This window comes from Homo sapiens, chromosome 6, assembly GCF_000001405.40.
Source record: "Homo sapiens chromosome 6, GRCh38.p14 Primary Assembly".
In the NCBI taxonomy this organism is placed as follows: domain Eukaryota; kingdom Metazoa; phylum Chordata; class Mammalia; order Primates; family Hominidae; genus Homo; species Homo sapiens.
The window spans coordinates 11,511,793-11,530,549 of record NC_000006.12 but is presented as its reverse complement, the minus strand read 5'-3'; the positions used below and the strand labels follow the sequence as shown (position 1 = coordinate 11,530,549).

Here is an 18,757-nt window from a genome sequence, read left to right as displayed (position 1 = left end):
AAATCCTGCCACCTTGCAGCAGGCAAAGGCTGTTTCCTAGAGAATTCATCCAGACCACCTTTCTTCACTTATTATGACTTTCTAAGTTTTCATATAACGTACAGAATAAATGTTACCCCATCACTCTTCTCCATATTAAAGTTCTGTCCAATTGGGTACCTAACCCAATCCATCATAAATTGAATTCAACTAGAAATATTAGTTGCATTAAAAAAATTGAAACTCTGAAAGTAAATTTTTCCAATGGTCTTTTTTCTTTCTTTTTTAAAATTATTTTTTAATTTTTTAATTATGGGTACATAATATTACAATTATTTTAAAATTAATTTTTAAGTTTTTAATTATGGGTACGTAATAATTCCATTTATGGTGTACATGTGAGTTTTGATACAGGCATACCATTTATAATGACCAAATCAGGGTAACTGGGATCTCCTTCATCTTAAGAATTCATTATTTCTTTGTGTTAGGAACATTCCAATACCGCTCTTTCAGTTATTTTAAAACATACATTTTTTTAAACTATGGTCACCCTATTGTGCTACAGAATACTAGCTCTTACTCATTTGATCAAACTATAATTTTTGTGCCCATTAACCATTCATTATCTTTTTTTTTTTTTTTGAGACGTAGTTTCACTCTTGTCACCCAGGCTAGAGTGCAGTGGTGTGACCTTGGCTCACTGCAACCTCCGCCTCCCGGGTTCAAGTGATTCTCCTGCCCCAGCCTCCCAAGTAGCTGAGATTACAGGCGTGCACCACCACACCCAGCTAATTTTTGTATTTTTAGTAGAGACGAGGTTTCACCGTGTTGGCCACGCTGGTCTCTAACTCCTGACCTCAAATGATCTGCCCGTCTTGGCCTCCTAAAGTGCCGGAATTACAGGCTTAAGCCACCGGGCCTGGCCTGGTAACCATCATTCTAATCTTTATCTCTGTGCATTTAATTATCTACTTTTTAGCTCCCACATATGAGTGAGAACATATGACATTTGTCTTCTGTGCCTGGCTTATTTCACTTCACGTAATGTCCTCCAGTTCCATCCTAGTTGTTACAAGTGACAAGATTTGATTCTTTTTTATGGCTGAATAATATTACATTGGGTATATGCATCACATTTTCTTTATCCATTCATCCATTGATGGACCCTTAGGTTGATTCCATATCTTGGCCATTATGAATAGTGTTGCAACAAACATGGGAGTGCAGATATCTTCTCAATGTACTAATTTTCATTCCTTTGGAAATACACCAAGCAGTGGGATTGCTGGATCATATGGTAATTCTATTTTTAGTTTTTTGAGGAAACTTAATGCTACTCTCCACAGTGGCTGTACTAATTTACTTTCCCACCAACAGTGTACGAGTGTTCCCCTTTTTCCACATCCTCCCCCATCGTTCATTATTGCCTGTCTTTTGGGTAAAAGCCATTTTAACTGGTGTGAGATGATATCTCATTGTAGTTTTGGTTTGCATGTAACTGATGATTAGTGATGTTGAACATTTTTTCACATACCTGTTGCCCATTTGTATGTCTTCTTTTGAGGAATGTCTATTCAGATCTTCTGCCCATTTTAAAATCAGATTTTTAGACTTGTTTCTTATTGAATTGATTGAGCTCCTTATAAATTGTGCTTATTAATTCCTTGCCAGATGAACAGTTTGCACACATTTCTCCCATTTTGTGGACTGTATCTTAACTTTGTTGATAGTTTCCTTTGCTGTGCAGCTTTTTAGCATGATGGGATTCCAGTTGTCCATTTTTGCTTTGGTTGCCAGTGTTTTTTGAGGTATCACTCAAGAAATCTGTGCCCCGACCAATGTCTTAGAACATTTCCCTGATGTTTTCTTTTAGTAGTTTCATAGTTTGAGGTCTTAGTTAAATTTAAGTCTTCAATCTATTTTGATTTGATTTTTGTATGTGATGAGAGATAAGGGTCTAGTTTCATTCTTTTGCATATGGATATCCAGTTTTCCCAGTGCCATTTATTGAAGAGACTTTCCTTCCCCCAATGTATGTTTTTGGCACCTTTGTCAAAAATGAGTTCACTCTAAATGCAGGGATTGATTTCTGGGTTCTGTATTCTATTCCATTGGTCTATGTGTCAGTATTTATGCCAGTACCAGGCTGTTTGGGTTACAATAGCTTTGTAGTATTAATATAATTTGAAATCAGGTAATGTGATTTCTCCAGTTGTGTTCTTTTTGCTCAGGAGAGCTTTGTCTATTCAAGGTTTTTTGTGGTTCCATATAAATTTTAGGGGTTTTTTTCTATTTCTGTGATGAATATCTAATGTTCATTTTTTATGCCTTCTTAGATAACTTTTTCAAGCTCATATTGTAAATATCTGGGTTAATTGGGAAACTAATGACAATATCTGGCCTATTGTAAAAGTATGAGATTGAACACAAATTTATAATTTTTATCACTTTCATTTCATTATACTAATTATAAGTGTTAAGAAATAGAAGATTTTTTTTCTACCCTCAAAGACCTTAGCATCTATTTAAGGGAGAATAAAACATACATTAGAAACAATAAATAGGTAACAAACTGTTACTGAGAACACATGTATATATATATATATATATATTCTATGTGTTATATAATATTAATAAATATATTTGCATTCTATAATCCATATCACATTATAATTACACATATTATATGCAATATATATAATACATATGTATTATGTTTTATTTGTATAATGTATATAGTCACCCATCACTTAACAATGAGGATTCTTTCTGGGAAATGCATCATTAGTCAATTTTGTCATTGTGTGAACATCATGGAGTGTATTTACACAAATCTAGATAGTATAGCCTACTTCACACCTTTGCTAGATGGTACAGCCTATAGCTCCTAGGCTACAAACCTGTACAGCAGGTTACTGTCCTGAATACCACAGGCAATTGTAACACAATGGGAAGTATTTGTGCATCTAAACACATCTAAATTTAGAAAAGGTACAGTCAAAATATGGCATAAAAGATAAAAATTGGTACAACTCTATAGGACACTTACCATGAATGGAGCTTGTAGGATTGGAAGTTGCTGTGGCTGAGTCAGTGGGTGAGTAGTGAGTGAGTGTGAAGGCCCAGGAACTTACTGTACACTACTGTAAACTCTATAAACACTGCACACTTAGGCTACCTTAAATTTATTTTTAAAATGTTTCTACAATGATAAATTAATCTTAGATTACAGTAACAATTTTACTATATAAACTTTTAAATTTTAAAAGCTTTCTGACTCTTTGTAATAGCAGTTTAAAACACAAACATATTTTACAGCTGTACAAAAATATTTTCATTCTTTCTATCCTTATTCCATAAGCTTTTTTCTGTTTGCAAAACTTTGTCTTTTTTTTTTTTTTTTACCTTTTAGATTCTTTTGTTAAAAACTAAAACACAAACATACGCATTAGCCTAGGCCTAAACAGGGTCAGGCTCGTCAATATCACTGTCTTCCACATCCACATGTTGTGCCATGGACGGTCTTCAGGGGCAGTAACACGCATGGAGCTGTCAAGTCCTATGGTAACAATGCCTTCTTCTGGAATCCCCCCTGAAGGACTTACCTGAGGCTATTTTATGTTAACTTTTTTTTTTTTTGAGACAGAGTCTCACTCTGTGTTCCAGGCTGGAGTGCAATGGTGCAATCTCGGAATAACTGCAACCTCCATCTCCCGGGTTCAAGCAATTCTCCTGCCTCAGCCTCCCAAGTAGCTGGGATTACAGGCGCCTGCCACCACACCTGGCTACTTTTTGTATTTAGTAGAGATGAGGTTTCACCATGTTGGCCACGCTGGTCTCAAACTCCTGACCGCAGGTGATTCACCGGCCTCGGCCTCCCAAAGTGCTGGGATTACAGGCATGAGGCACCGTGCATGGCCCATAGTTCTTTATTATCATTCTTTATATACAATTGTGTATTATGTATAATTGTATGTGTTCTACTTTGATATGACTGGCTGCATGGGAGGTTTGTTTACATCAGCATCACCATAAACACATAAATAATGCATTGTGCTATGACATTAGGATGTCTACAATGTCATTAAGCGATAGGTAGGAATTTTTCAGCTCCATTTTTATCTTATGGGACCACTGCTGTATAAACGGTCCATTGTTGACCAAAATGTCGTTATGCAATGCATGACTATGTATTATATGTAATATGTATGTATTATTATTTGTATTATATATGTATATTTATAGCATAATGTGTTTACTCAGCAAATATATTACATATATTACATAATATATATAACATATATGTGTGTGTGTACTCATAATATATATATAAATGTGTACCCAGTCACTGATATATATATTGCACAAATGCTTAGGGAATTATACAAATAGAATAAGATGAATGGCCTTCCTCATAGCCATGGTCATGTCACCTAATTTTCAGTTTGAAAAATGCTTGTATCAGCTAGAGCAGCCTGTCAACTATTTTAGTTTCTTCATCTTTCCAGATGACCAAAGGAATTTAAGACAGTTGTAAAAATCAAATTAACAAACATCTCTTGAGTAAGACACTGAGTTAGGCAATGGCTGACTAGATGTCATCTTTCAAAATTAGGCCAAGGGTTGCACGTAAGCCAACAAGTTGCACCACAAAATGTGACTTCCTCCCTGCAACCAAAGAGGGCTGCTTGCTTCTGAGTCTGGCTGCCAAGGGATCTTCCCCTTTAGTTTCAACTTTCTTATATTCATCCTGGATTTTCAACTTCCAAAGTGCAGTTTAGTATTTTATTGTAAAAACACAATGCGTGAAGTACAGTAGAAGGATGAATAAAGAATTTAATTGACTCCAAGGTGAAGATTAGGCCCTGACAAATTCCTGGTCCATGTGTAAGGAGAGGCCCATTTAAAGGATCTCATTGCTAAGAGGGCAGGTCTTAGGTTCTTACCAAAGTTTAAAAAAAAAAAATGAAAGATCTCATTGTGACTTTGTTAATGACCTTCTTCTCTCTTTCTCTGGAACCTCTGGAAAAGTTACTTAAAGAGAAGACAAAAAGGCCCTTTTGCCCTTTGCCCACCTTCCTTCCCTTCTGAAAGTTTGAACATGGTGTGAATAGATAATTAAGCATTTTCAAATTATTGTTTATTCCTTTCTATTCTTTGTAAACCTTTGAAAAGCAAGGCCATTTCCTTCTCATATATACTGAGGTCTAAGACATGAGAATGAAAATAATAAATCTATGGGTTTAAATTGATCACTTACTTTGAAATTACTGAGTAGACATCCACCCCTTGAAATAGAAATACACCCCTTGGAAGTTTTATTTTTGATCCAGTCACAGTAGCCTGTTAGGGCTATTAATGACTGTGAAAAGATTTATGTATAATACATAACTTCAAAAAACTTATATTGAAAAGCTTGCCTGGTTTGAAGTCATTGGGAATTTAAGCCAACAAGGTTGATTTTCCATTTAAAATCAGAATTTTGTTTTTCATATTTAGGTATTTAAAAACAGCTTTGATAAATATTTGGCCCATTTTTAAAAAAGCCCTCAATGGTGCTAATGTGTATAATGTGAGGGTAGATTTGGTGTTTGGATATAGTCAGAAGTTGTTTGGTGTTGTGTCAGTTAAGTGACCAGCCTGGGAAATATTTATTTTGATCAAAACTGAGGTGTATCTTAAGAGGTAAAACTTTTGTCTGAGTAATTCATAACCTGGTTTTGAAGAAAATTCAAAAGTATTTGAGCTAATGGTAACAACATTAGAATAAGAGTCATACCTTCCAGAGTGTCTTCTCTGAAGGGTAATATCAACTGGGAATTATAAATGATACAAATGTGACTATAAAGTAAAATACTACATAACTAAAAATATTTTACTTTACAGTCACATCTCTTGAAATCTTTCATTTGCACCAGATTTGGTCTTCGATGAAGATATCATATCATCTCCCAATTCTTTAGCTATTTTCCTCTCCTTGGAGATCTTATTTATTTTCTGTGTTTAAATATACACAAATAACTCCTATTAAAAGAGAAACAAAATTGAAAACAACATTCACTTTATTGTTTACCTGACTCATCTAAGATCACTTTTTCCTTTCCCTTACAATAAAAATTCTTCAAAGAATAACACAGTATATTGCCAACATTTAACTGAGTTCCGTTTTTTTCCCCTAGCGATGGGGTCCCGCTCTGTTGCCCAGGCTGGTCTCGAACTCCTGGCCTCAAGCAATCTTCCTGCCTCAGCCTTCCTAGTGGTTGGGATTACAGGTGTGAGCCACCGCACCTGGCTTTAACTGAGTTCTTTCTATGGGGCAGACACTGTGTTAAGCATTTTTCATGTTATATTAATCCTCCCTATGAGCAAAGTGTTATTCTCCTCACTTTAAGGATGAGTATATTAGTTTCCTGATGCTGCCATAATAAAATACTATAAACTGGTGGCTTACAATAGCAGAAATTTATTTTCTCATAGACCTAGAGGCTGGTAGTCCAAAATCAAGGTGTTGGCAAGCCCCTTCTGAAGCCTCAAGGGAGACTCTGTTCTGTGCCTTTTTCTTAGTTTCTGGTGTTGCCGGCAGTCCTTAGCGTTCCTTGGCTTGCAACTGCATAACCTCAGTCTCTACCTCTGTCATCACGCTGGGTGTCTTCCCTGTGCATGTCTCTCTCTGTGTCTCTCTCCTCTTCTTATAAGGACACCAGTCATATTGGATTATGGAGCCACCCTTCTCCATTATAACCTCATTTTAACTAGTTATGTCTGTAATGACCCTACTGCGAAAGAAGGTCACATTCTGATCTGGGAAGGACATGAATTTGGGGGACCATATTCAACCCAGTGCACTGGGACTTAGATACACTTCTACTCGTTAAGTTGTACAGTTTGGGTGGAACCAGGATTCAGGTACTGTGACCATCAGAGCCTGTCATCATAACTGCTTCACTATTTGATGTGACCACTGGCCCATCGCCTTGCTGCTCCTCCTTCATCCATGTGATCCCGTTTCCAGTCCCAGATTGCCATTGAAACTCTTCTCCTAAAGGACCTCACCTTCTGGATCATCCAGCTTCTTCCTGCCCTAGTGGTGACATCCTCCTCCTTAGCACTCTGCTCCCTTGGTTCTCTGGCCACACTCTGAGTCTCACACTCCAGACCGGGTGTTCCCTCTTGCGCTTGCTCATCTTACTCATCCTATGTCCTAAATGTGGGTGCTTCCCAACTCACATTTCTCTGTCCTTCCCTTCACATTCTTTCTTTCTGAAATCTCTTCCATTCTCAGTTTCAGTTGTAACTTCTATGCCATTGGCTCTCCCTTCTGTGTCAGTCTGTTTCTCCCTGCTGCCCTCTCCCCTAAGCTCCAGCCTCATACCTTCAAACTCCTGCTAGACAAGAAGTCCTACCATCATCTCTAGCCCAGCATGCTCAAGCCAGGTATTTTTCTTCCTTGAAAAGCTTTCATCCTGTCTCACCATATGCACTGACACACATGTCCTGGCCCAAGTCCTTGCTGTCTCATGGAAGGAACACTACAGCAATGCCCTAGTTAACTGGCTTGATGCCAGTCTCCACCCTTCCAGTGTGTCTTGCATAACCTTGACCAACTAATCTCTCCAAACCCAATTTTAATTCTTTTATTCCCTGTGCTCAGCCATTCCCTATGTTCTGCTGCTTCATGTTTACACTCCTCTGACATCTCTTTATCCACCATCTTCACCCAGTATAATTTCCCATGGCTTCAATATGCACTTGTACTCTAGTTAGGCATTGCTTCTCTGCAAAACTGAGCATATTCTCATTTCTGTGCTGTGACTTATGTTATCCACTCAACCCTTTATCCTCTCCAATCTTGCCTCTTCCATCAGGCCCCAGATCAAATCTCACCTCTTCTATGCAGTTTTCTCTACCATTTCAGGTTTCATTCATTTCAGTGGAGCCTCAAGGAAAGAATAACAGAAAAGTGGTCAGAAATGCAGGATGAACTTGCTCTCTCCGTGTCCTCTGTTCTTAGCTTCTATGTTTATATTTGCTCCATCTTTCTCTCTCTCATCTCAGAACTTCTAAAAATCAGCATACACATTACTCTGAGCTGTCCTGTTTTATTAATTGTTGCTTTACGTCTCTTCTCAACTATTTTATCAGACAAGTGAGGGCAAAGGCCACAACTCATCTTTTTTTCCCTTAATAGCTATACCACCTAACACAATATTGAATACTTACTAAACAATTTTCACTTAATTTACTTAATACAATTTCACAATAAGTTGAGTGGAGTTTCTTACAGAAGTGCCAAAAAACTGTTTCTGAAACCTAATGTGTTCTAGACACTAGTTTTCTAAGCCAAAAATATTTCACTGAAGGTAGACAGAGTCTGCAATGTGAAATGTGAAGATAATTTTCTCAATCATATAAGCAAAAATTAGTTTTCAGGATATTTTAGAGTTGTGTTAATTCTCTGCTATCTTCAGTTTTCTAGAAAAATTCTTAAAGCTATAATAAACAAGATAAATTATATTGGTAGTACTGGAAAATTTTTATTTAGCAATGTCAGTGAGTGCTATTCTTTTTGTCTTAATCACTAAATATATGTCACATAAATTTATGCTGAACCCATGCCAAATTTCTGAAAATAGAACTCACTGACATTCAAAAGACAAAAAATACTCAAGTGCTTCATTCCCACAGTATTAAAACTATTGTCTATATTGTAAATAATAGTAAGGCAAACAAAACCTGATTTCTTTTCCGTGAATAACAAGAAGGAATTAGAACTTTTTGAAAATGAATCTGAAAGGCTGGGCACAGTAGCTCACACCTATAATCCCAGCACTTTGTGAGGCAGAGGCGGGTGGATCACCTGAAGTCGGAAGTTTGAGACCAGCCTGACCAACATGGTGAAACCCTGTCTCTACTAAAATACAAAAATTAGCCAGGCGTAGTGGCGGGCGCCTGTAGTCCCAGCTACTTGGGGAGGCTGAGGCAGGAGAATTGCTTGAACCTGGGAGGCAGAGGTTGCAGCGAGTTGAGCTTGCACCACTGCACTCCAGCCTAGACGACAGAATGAGACTCCGTCTCAAAAAAAAAAAAAAGAATCTACAGAAGTCACTGAATGTCAAATCATAATCATTTTCTGACAATCTACTCTCTCTAGTCAGGAAAATATACATAAAAGTTTGACACTGAACTTTTATGAGAGCAGAAATGGTCTAAGTAGTTCTAGGTTCAGCACTTTGGTGAGTGCGCAGGAAGCACCAGAAGTTTACAGCTAAAATGGACTCTATCCAGAATCTGTAAGGAACTTAAAACAACTCAACAAGAAATAAAACAAGTAACCTCATTAAAAAATGGGCAAAGGACATAAACAGACACTTATCAGAAGAAGACATATAAGTGGCCAACAAACATATGAAAAAATGCTCATCATCACTAATTATCAGAGAAATGCAAATCAAAAGCACAGTGAGATACCATCTTACACCATTCAGAATGGCTATTAAAAAGTCAAAAAATAACAGATGCTGGTGAGGCTGTGGAGAAAAGGTAATTGCTTACACGCTGTTGATGGAAATGTAAATTAGTCCAGCCACTATGGAAGACAGTTTGGAGATTTCTTAAAGAACTTAAAACAGAACTACCATTTGACTCAACAATTCCATTACCGGATATATACCCAAAGGAAAAGAAATCATTCTACAAAACAGACACGTGCACTCATATGTTCATCACAGCAGTATTCACAATAGCGAAGACGTAGAATCAACCTAGATGCACATTGATGGTGGACTGGATAAATAAAATGTGGCACATATATACCAGGAAATATTGTGTAGCTGTAAAAAATAATAAAATCATGTCCTTTGCAGCAGCATGGCTGCAGCTGGTGGCCATTATCTTAAGAAAGTGAATGCAGGAACAGAAAACCAAATACTACATGTTCTCACTTATAACTGAGAGCTAAACATTGAGTACACATCAACATAAAGATGGGAATAGTACATACTGGAGACCTCTAGAGGGAAGAGGTAATGGAGCATGGGTTGAAAAATTACCCATCGGATACTATGCTGACTACCTTGGTGATGGAATCATCCATACCCCAAACCTGAGTACCATGCAATACACCCATGTAACAAGGCTGCATTTATACCCCCTGAATCTGAAATAAAAGTTGAAATTATTAAAAATAAATAAAATAAAATGTACCCTCAGATTGAGGGAATAGATAAAAGAGGGGCTATCACCATGGGTGAAGCCAAAAGTATATGGACCATGATTAAGGCTGGTTGGTTGTTTGTAGGAGAAAACCTCCCACAAGCCACATTAATTTTTGTATTATTTGAGCCTTTTTAACAGAAACTCAACTTGACCAAAAAAAAAAAAGAAAGGTTGGGATTTGGGTATTATTATTATTATTTTTGAGACAGAGTCTTCCTCTGTCACCCAGGCCAGAGTGCAGTGGCACAATCTCGGCTCACTGCAACCTCCGCCTCCCGGGTTCAAGTGATTCTCCTGCCTCAGCCTCCCAAGTAGCTGGGACTATAGGCACGCACCACCATGCCTGGCCAATTTTTTGTATTTTTAGTAGAGACAGAGTTTCACCATGTTGGCCAGGCTGGTCTCGAACTCCTGACCTCATGATCCGCCCTCCTTGGCCTTCCAAAGTGCTGGGATTACAGGCGTAAGCCACCATGCCCGACCTGCAGTTGGGTATTATTAATCATTATAATGATTGAGGGGTTTCACAGAATCAAAAGGCAGGAATGAAACTGGAGTTCTGGAAGGAAGTGAAACCAACAACTGACAGCTGACAGAATCCAGGAAGTACGTTTGTACATCTTTGCTTCTCCTTTTTGCATCTTCTCCTATCTTCTTTCTCCTTAAAGACTTCCTTTCTCTGGTCTTCAGGCTACAAAGTGGGCTATGGCTGCAGGACACATGAAGAGACAAACTTTACTCTTGGACTTAATTTAGAAATTCTTGGGTGAGAGCCTAATTGCCCAAGTTAAATCAGATTGCCAGAACTTGAACAATCAACTGTGGCCATGGAACTGATTATCTACTATAAATTTGGTTGCCCAGAGACTGCTTCTGTGGTTTTAACCATAATGTGGAAATGTTCAGTTTTGTGACTTGCCCTAAATTTCATCAGGGGCAAGGGAAGAAAGGAGCATGCACAATAAACTTAATGTGACAGTAGATGACAAAAACAAATTTGTTTCATAATTAATTCCTTGAGTCATGCTTGTTTAACATTAAAGTTACATTTTGGATAGGGGATTGGGAATAGAGTTATTTTCATAAAAGAACAGTCATTATAAGTTTGGCAGATACTTCAGAAATAGATGTCTATTGGAAGTACAATTCGGATATAACTTAAAATTAGAATTTATGTCTTCAGTAAATGAAAATGCAGAAATCATGAAATGAAAGCTAATATTGCCATAGTACATGAATACAAAAGTAACTGAATCTCAAGAAGTCTTGAAAAAAATTACATGCAAGTTAATATTAGGTTGAAAAATGCATTATCCAAATGTTTTTTTCCCCTGTCTCCTATGGTTCTTGTGTGAGATTATACAAATTTTATGACATCATATTCAGAAGATTAGGAAGACCACTAGAGTAATATACTGTGGGCAAAAGAAACTATTTTGGGAAGACTACCTCAAAATGTCACTTTTGGTGATTTCTGGGTTGTGTGATGACAAGGAATTTATTTTTATTTTTATTTTTACTTGATATGTTATTTTTGGAGCTGTTGTTGGTGAAAATCTGTTGCTTTTATAATTTAAAAGGATTATTTTTATAAGAAGAAAAAGAGTACCCCTGCAGTAGAAATATCACTATATTAGTGGAAACAGTGCTTTGATTAGCTGATACTACATTACCAATATGTAAATAGGAAAGGATAACACATCAGATTACCATACCAGACAAAAGCATTGATGAACATTCAGATTCCTTTTGCATAAACTTTTCCATTTGAATATCCAATTGTTTCAGCACCTTTTGTTAAAAAAAATTTTCCTTTGCCCCCAGTATAATTACTTTGGTGCGTCTGTTGAAAATTAATTGAGTGTGTAAGTGTGAGTCTGTTTCCGAGCTCTCTATTCTGTTCCATTGATATTTGTTAGACCTTATGCCAATACCATATACTATCTTGATTAACTTTAGCACATTTTGAATTCAGATAGGGTAAATCTTTCAATTGTCTTTTTCTTTCTCATGTTCATTTGGGTCTTCTAATCCATGAACATAGTATATATCTTCATTTATTTGGGTTTTCCTTAATTTATCTCAACAATGTTTTGTAATTTTTAGTGTAGAAATTTTGTATGGTTTTATTTAATTTATTTGTAAGTATTTTACATATTTCTAATTGCTATTGTAAGTGGATTTTTAAAAATTTTTCAATTGTTTGCTGCTAGTACATAAAAGGACGATTGTGGAGTATTGGCCATGTATCCTGTAATATTGTTAAATTTGCTTATTAGTTCTAGTGGTTGCTTATACGTTCCTTAGAATTTTCTACATCAACAAACATTATATTCTTTATTTCATTTTCTTGCCCTATTTCATAGGCTAGGACTTCTATTACAACATTAAGAGGGTACATCTTTGCCCTGAGTCCAATCTTGAAGGGAATACGGTTAGTCTTTCACCACTAAGCATTATATTAACTATAAGAATTTCATAAATATCCTTTATCAGGTCAAGGAAATTTCCATCTTTTCTTAGTTTACTTAGTGTTTTTTTAGGGTTTTATGTATGTATTTATTTAGATTTAGAAGATACAAGTTCAGTTTTGTTACATAAATATATTGCATAGTGGGGAAGTCTGGGCTTTTAGTGTACCTGTCATCCAAATAGTGAACATTGTACCCAATAGGTAATATTTCAACCCTATCCTCCTCCCACCCTCCCACCTTTACAGTCTCCAGTGTCTATTATTCCACTCTGTATGTTCATGTGTACCCATTGTTTGGTTCCCGCTTAGAAGTGAGAACATGCAGTATTTGACTTTCTGTTTCTGAGTTATTTCACTTAGGACAATGGCCTCTAGTTCAATCCTTGTTGAGCAAAAGACATAATTTCATTCTTTTCTATGGCTGAGACGTAATATATATGTATATATAATATGATATTCTCTTTGTCAAATCATCCATTGATAAATACTTAGGTTGATTACATAACTTTACTATTATGAATAGTACTGTGATAAACATATGAGTGCAGTTGTCTTTTTAGTATAATGATTTATTTTCCTTTGGGTAGATACTTAGTAGTGGGATTGCTGGATCAAATGGTAGTTCTATTTTTAGTTCTTTAAGAAATCTCCATACTGTTTTCCATAGAGGTTGTACTAATTTACATTCCCACCAACAGTATATAAGTGTTCCCTTTCTGCTGTATCCTCATCAGCACTTGTTGGATTTTTGGCTTTTTAATCATGGCCATTCTGGCTAGTGTAAGATGATATCTCACTGTGGTTTTAATTTGCATTTCTCTGATGATTAGTGATGTTGTGCTTTTTTAAAATATGTTTCTGGGTCACTTGTATGTCTTCCTTTGAACATGTTAAGATGTAAACCCAACAAATGAATGTAAACAACCAGATGTGGAACATCTTTGGATTACTTTCTATCCAAACTCTAATTCTGTCTTTATGGCCACATAAAAAAGACGAAATCTACATTGAAATCTCGGTTTGGTGAGTTCACAGTTTCTGCTGCTGGTTGGTAATTTCCTTAACTACCCTTTCCATATTTCTAACAATACACTAAAACACCCATTAGTCAATGGTCAATCCTGTGCTTTATTGTAATATTTTATAAAATATATTCCTTCTCCTCACACCTCCTTAACATTTACTTTTTAAAACAACTGGTAACTTAATAATACCTGGTAATTAGATTCATGACATTATGCTCAAAATTACTTTACTAAAATATCCCTAGCTTGCCAACAACAGAAATGGAATGTTCTTTTAATGCTAAATTCTGAAAGGAAAAGTCTTCAAAGAAAGAAAGTTCAAATAGTGGCCACTCAACAGCAGGTTTTTAGTGTTTAATATATTCAGTGAAAGGTCCGTGGGTAAATATTCAGTGATTAAGTGGCCAAAATACAACTCACAGCTTTTCCTCTAAATATCAGATATAAAAAGAAAAACTATTAGGCATTTTCAGTGGTTTTTAGGTACTTGTAGGAAGTTCTGGCTTTATGTATAGCTTTTTTATATATGTGTCTACTGTTAAATTAAGATCCTATTTTATATCAACATTTATGTTAAGCAGTGTAAAGTTACTTGACCTCTGGTCCGTTGAAGTGCTTCTTAGTTGTGGTTTGAGACACTTTCATCCAATTTCATAGCTTTCATTCTCAAACTTCATCAAAAGGAAGAATACACAGGACCTTCAGTAACATGTAGACAGTAAGAAAAAAAAACTTTAAGTGAGATAAATAGGGAGTTTTATACGTGGTGGGTGGAAGCTCTTTGTCTTTTTTTCTGCGTTTTGGCCTTAACCTCCAACAATGAAGGTTGGCAGAGAATGTATCAGGATTGAATAAGTCAGCTGAGTACACATTGGCATGGTGTTCAGTGTAAGCTGTTCTATGACCGAGGCCACCAGTGAACTGCTTTTGACTGTTTAAGAACATTTAGGAACTGTGAGGTACTGTTCTAAGAAAATGTCTTTAAGGTCATGGATAATGTGCCTCATGGTGGAGCACTATTTCTTTATAGTAATTCTCTGTGGTTAATTTAGATTCTAGATTATCTTGCTGAGCCTTGAGGAATTTCCCAGCATTTCAGCATCAAGTATGGTTGTCAACCCTGCGGCTTCCTCAAATCAAAATTTACAATAAATGTAAATATCTTCAATCTCTTTCTGCAATGCAACGCTGCAGTCAAGCTGCCTATTGCAAAGAAGACATCAGAGGTGTGGCCCTGGAGATTTTTTCCAGATGGTCTTTCTGAAAATAGGATACTTTTATGAACAACAATTTATAATTAAATCAAAACATTAATGCACTACAGAGAACAAAAGCTCAACCAGCTATAAAGGTATTCCATCTAACATTTGTGTCAACCTTTATATCATCTAAACACAAAACAATTGCTAGCAAAAACATTTCAAAAGCATCATGCATGCCTGTACATTGTGAATAGCAGATTTCCTTCAGTTCATTTGCCTTTTCTTTGTTGTTCTGAAAGAGGACAGACATTATATTATTGAGCTCTAAAACTCTTGTGATCAACAGAAAAAAAGAACATCTTTAATTGCTCCCAAAGCAATAGATGATCCTCCCACAACAGAAAACTGATTTCGACTTCTGCATATTTAAGGCAGAGGAAGAGCAAGGTGTGGAGATATGTTGGGATTATTTCTCTAAAGTTCTAGTTACCATGATTGCCATTTTGAAAGAAAGTCTACTAGATATAATCTAAGCCAGGTCACACCAGAATTCCTTGTTCATTTCCCACTTCTCAGTTATTGTAGTGTGACATTTCACAGCCAAACTTCCTGCATCAGCTTCAGGAGGGAGAAATCCCACATCCTTCTCTCTGGCCCTGAGATTCATCAGTGAGCCTAACCAATACCGGTGATTGCTTTTTCTCAGCTATGTCCTCCATATTAGCGACAGTAGGAAAGAAGTGAATCTCTCACTTCCCCGTTTCTTCCCAGTGCAGCTCTTGTAGATCTCAAGCACCTGTTTCTGTTGTGTTTTCAAACTGAATAATGTGTTTCAAAGAACTTTCTCAGGACTGCCTCACCAGAAAGTACCCTGAACTCCAGCAGTGCTTAAACATTAAAAGGAGAAAAGAAACCCTTTGAGATTTGGTCAGCCTCATTTTCATCCAAAGGTGTATTTTGTAAAAACCAAACTTCAAATAAAAATGTTAAGTGATCTTTGTTTTTATTCTCTTCAAAGTTTAGGGGTGAAATGCCTTCATTTTGTTCTTCACTTTCTTCTTCGGCATTGGAGTTCTGTGTATTGCTGTTGTTTCTTTATTGGTTTGTTTCTATTCAGGAGTTTCATCATTTTTTCCATTTGTGTCCTGATTTAATTATCACAATTATCTTATTTATTTTCAATGTCCACCATGTGGATTGTTCAGATGACCAGTAAAATCAACCATTGCTGGCATAGCATAATTGCAAATAACTCTTCTGTAAGTACTAGTTTTATAAATCATAGAGTTCTCAAAGTGTTTGACAATAATGTTTACTCAGCCAATCAGGTGTTTTACCTTGTAAGTTAATTTTTCTACATTTCTTCACCCACCTCAGGCTTCTTTCAAGGTCTTGTAGTAACCTGAAGGCCAGATTGGGCTTCATTTTCTTCCATGTGCAGTTGGGAACTGCATACAAGTTTGATGTTGTAGCCCTACCAGCAAGCTAGCCCGCACTCCCTACCCGCAAACTCAGGCCCTCCTGCCTTCCTGTTAGTGATGGGGAAAGAAAATCAACTTAACATGACTCGTGTTTTCATTTTCTTTATTTGAAATGTCTGTGTCAAGTTTAGTATCAGGATCAGGCTGACTTCATAAAATGCACTGGGATGTGTTTCTTCCTCCTGGGTTTCTGAAAGCATTTGTGTAAAATTGTTATTTTTTTCTTACCTAAATGTTTAACAGAGTTCAGAGGGAGATTTTGATAACAAATTCAATTTCTTTTATATATATAGGACTAGTTAAGAATTTTTATTTCATCTTGTGTCAGTTTAGTAAGTTGTATTGTTCAGAAAATATGTCCATTCCTTCTAAGTTGTTGAATTTATTAGCATACACTTGTTCATGTTTGTTGGATCTGTAATATATTCACATACTTATTCCTGATATTGGTGATTTCTCTTTTCTTCTGCATGTCAAACTTTAATGTCATTTCCCCTAGAAAAACCCCAAAATGTTTTATACCTATTAATTTCCTCTATCATTTGTCTGTTTTCTGTTTCATACTTTCCTCCTCTTATAATATCTTTATTGTTTCCTTCCTTCTACTTTCTTTGTTTTTGTTGTTATTGTTGTTGTCTTGAGGCAGAGTCTCACTCTGCAGCCCAGGCTGGAGTGCAGTGGCAAGATCTCACCTCACTGCAACCTCCAACCCCCAGGTTCAAGAGATTCTTCTGCCTCAGCCTCCCAAGTAGCTGAGACTACAGGCATGTGCCACCACGCCCGGCTAATTTTTGTATTTTTAGTAGAGACAGGGTTTCAACATATTGGCCAGGCTGGTCTCAAACTCCTGACCTCAAGTGATCCTCCCACCTTGGCTTCCCAAAGTGCTGGGATTAGAGGCATGAGCCACCACACCCGGCCCCTCTACTTACTTTGGATTTACTTTTCTCTTCTTTCTCTGGATCTTACTGTGGAAACAAAGGTCATTCATTGTATACCTTTCTTCCTTCCTATCCTAAGCATTTAAAAGGTATAAATTTCTCTTTTAGCACTACTTTAGCTGTATTCCACAAATTTTGATATATTTTCATTATCATTCAGTTTGAAATAGTTTTAATATGTCTTATGACTTTTTTCTTTGACCCATGGATTATAGACAATATGTGTTTAAATTTCCAGATATGTGAATTTTATCCTCCTTTGACATCTTATTGTTTTTGGTTTCTAATTTAATTCCACTGTGGTCCAAAAACATTGTCTGCATTATTTTAATCTTTAAAATGCGCTGAGACTTGTTTCATGGCCCAGCATTTCGTTTATCTTGGTAAACATTACATGTTACTTGAAGATAATGTTTATTCCGCAATTGTTGGGTGTAGTGTTCTATAAATGTCAATTAGGTAAAGGAGAGTGAAGGCATTATTCAGATCTTTTATCTACTTGTTCTGCCAATTGCTGTTATTAAATGTTAAAATCTCCAACTATATTACATAAGCAGAATAGGCACAAAAAATCTCCAACTATCATTGTGGAGTTGTCTCTTTCTCCCTTTAATTATGTTACTCTTTCATGTCACGTATCCTAAACCTGTTTTATTAGGCCCATATACATGTATAATTATTGTGTCTTTATGCAAATTTATTCATTATTACAGTATGTCTGTTTTTACTTTTTGTCTTGTGGCATCTATTACATCTGATATTAATATAGCCAATCCAGCCCTCTTAGGCTTACAGTTTGCATAATAAATCTTTTCCTGTCATTTGCTTTCAACATATCTGTATTTTTATATTTAAAGTTCATCTCTAATGGAGAAACTATGTTGAATCTTACTCATTTATCTCCTTTGAGAATTTATGAATTCTAATTGGAGCATTTAGTTCATTTCCATTTAATTGAATTATTGACAGAGTTGAGTTTAGACCAACAGTTTTACTACTATTTTCTGTTGGTCCTGCCTGCTTTTTGTTTTTAAATTCTGTTACTACTTTCTCAATTTTTTTTGTTTAATTCAATTTTTTTGAGAATTATTTTTTAATGAATTGTTGGCTTTTTAGTTATATAACTTTATATTGTTTCAAGTGGTTGCTCTAGGGGTCATAGTTTACATTCTTGATTTTTCACAGCCTACTTAGATTTAATATTGGACCATTTTGTGTAAAGCAGAATCTTTCTGAAAATAGAGGTTCATTTACTTCTTCTGTTTTGGTTGTCATATGTACTTCATCTAAAAATGTTATCAATCCCACAATACAATGTGGGGTTTAAAGCAAATATAGATTTTTCTTTAGTCATGTTTATTTATAACAAATTAGGAGAAAGGGACAAATCTTAATATTTAGCCACCTATATATCATTTGGGGCACTGCATTGTTTTCT

At 36.1% G+C, this 18,757-nt stretch overlaps 1 long non-coding RNA gene and 1 pseudogene across 1 annotated transcript in view, besides 1 other annotated feature; both read right to left on the bottom strand.

Moving 5' to 3' along the window:
- Window positions 1–6,425: 6,425 nt before the first annotated feature.
- LOC105374928 (uncharacterized) overlaps window positions 6,426–18,757 on the bottom strand; it is a 106,762-nt gene continuing 94,430 nt past the window's right edge. Inside the window, exon 5 of the long non-coding RNA NR_187824.1 lies at window positions 6,426–7,919. This is a non-coding gene — a long non-coding RNA (uncharacterized LOC105374928). The remainder of the gene's footprint in view (window positions 7,920–18,757) is intronic.
- THAP12P5 (THAP domain containing 12 pseudogene 5) lies at window positions 14,161–16,358 on the bottom strand (annotated as a pseudogene).
- Window positions 15,448–15,497: an enhancer, noted in NCBI's record as "active region_23989". NCBI's record gives its function as "activates an Ori minimal core promoter by ATAC-STARR-seq in GM12878 lymphoblastoid cells {active_cell/tissue: GM12878}" and the evidence as "EXISTENCE:reporter gene assay evidence [ECO:0000049][PMID:35858748]".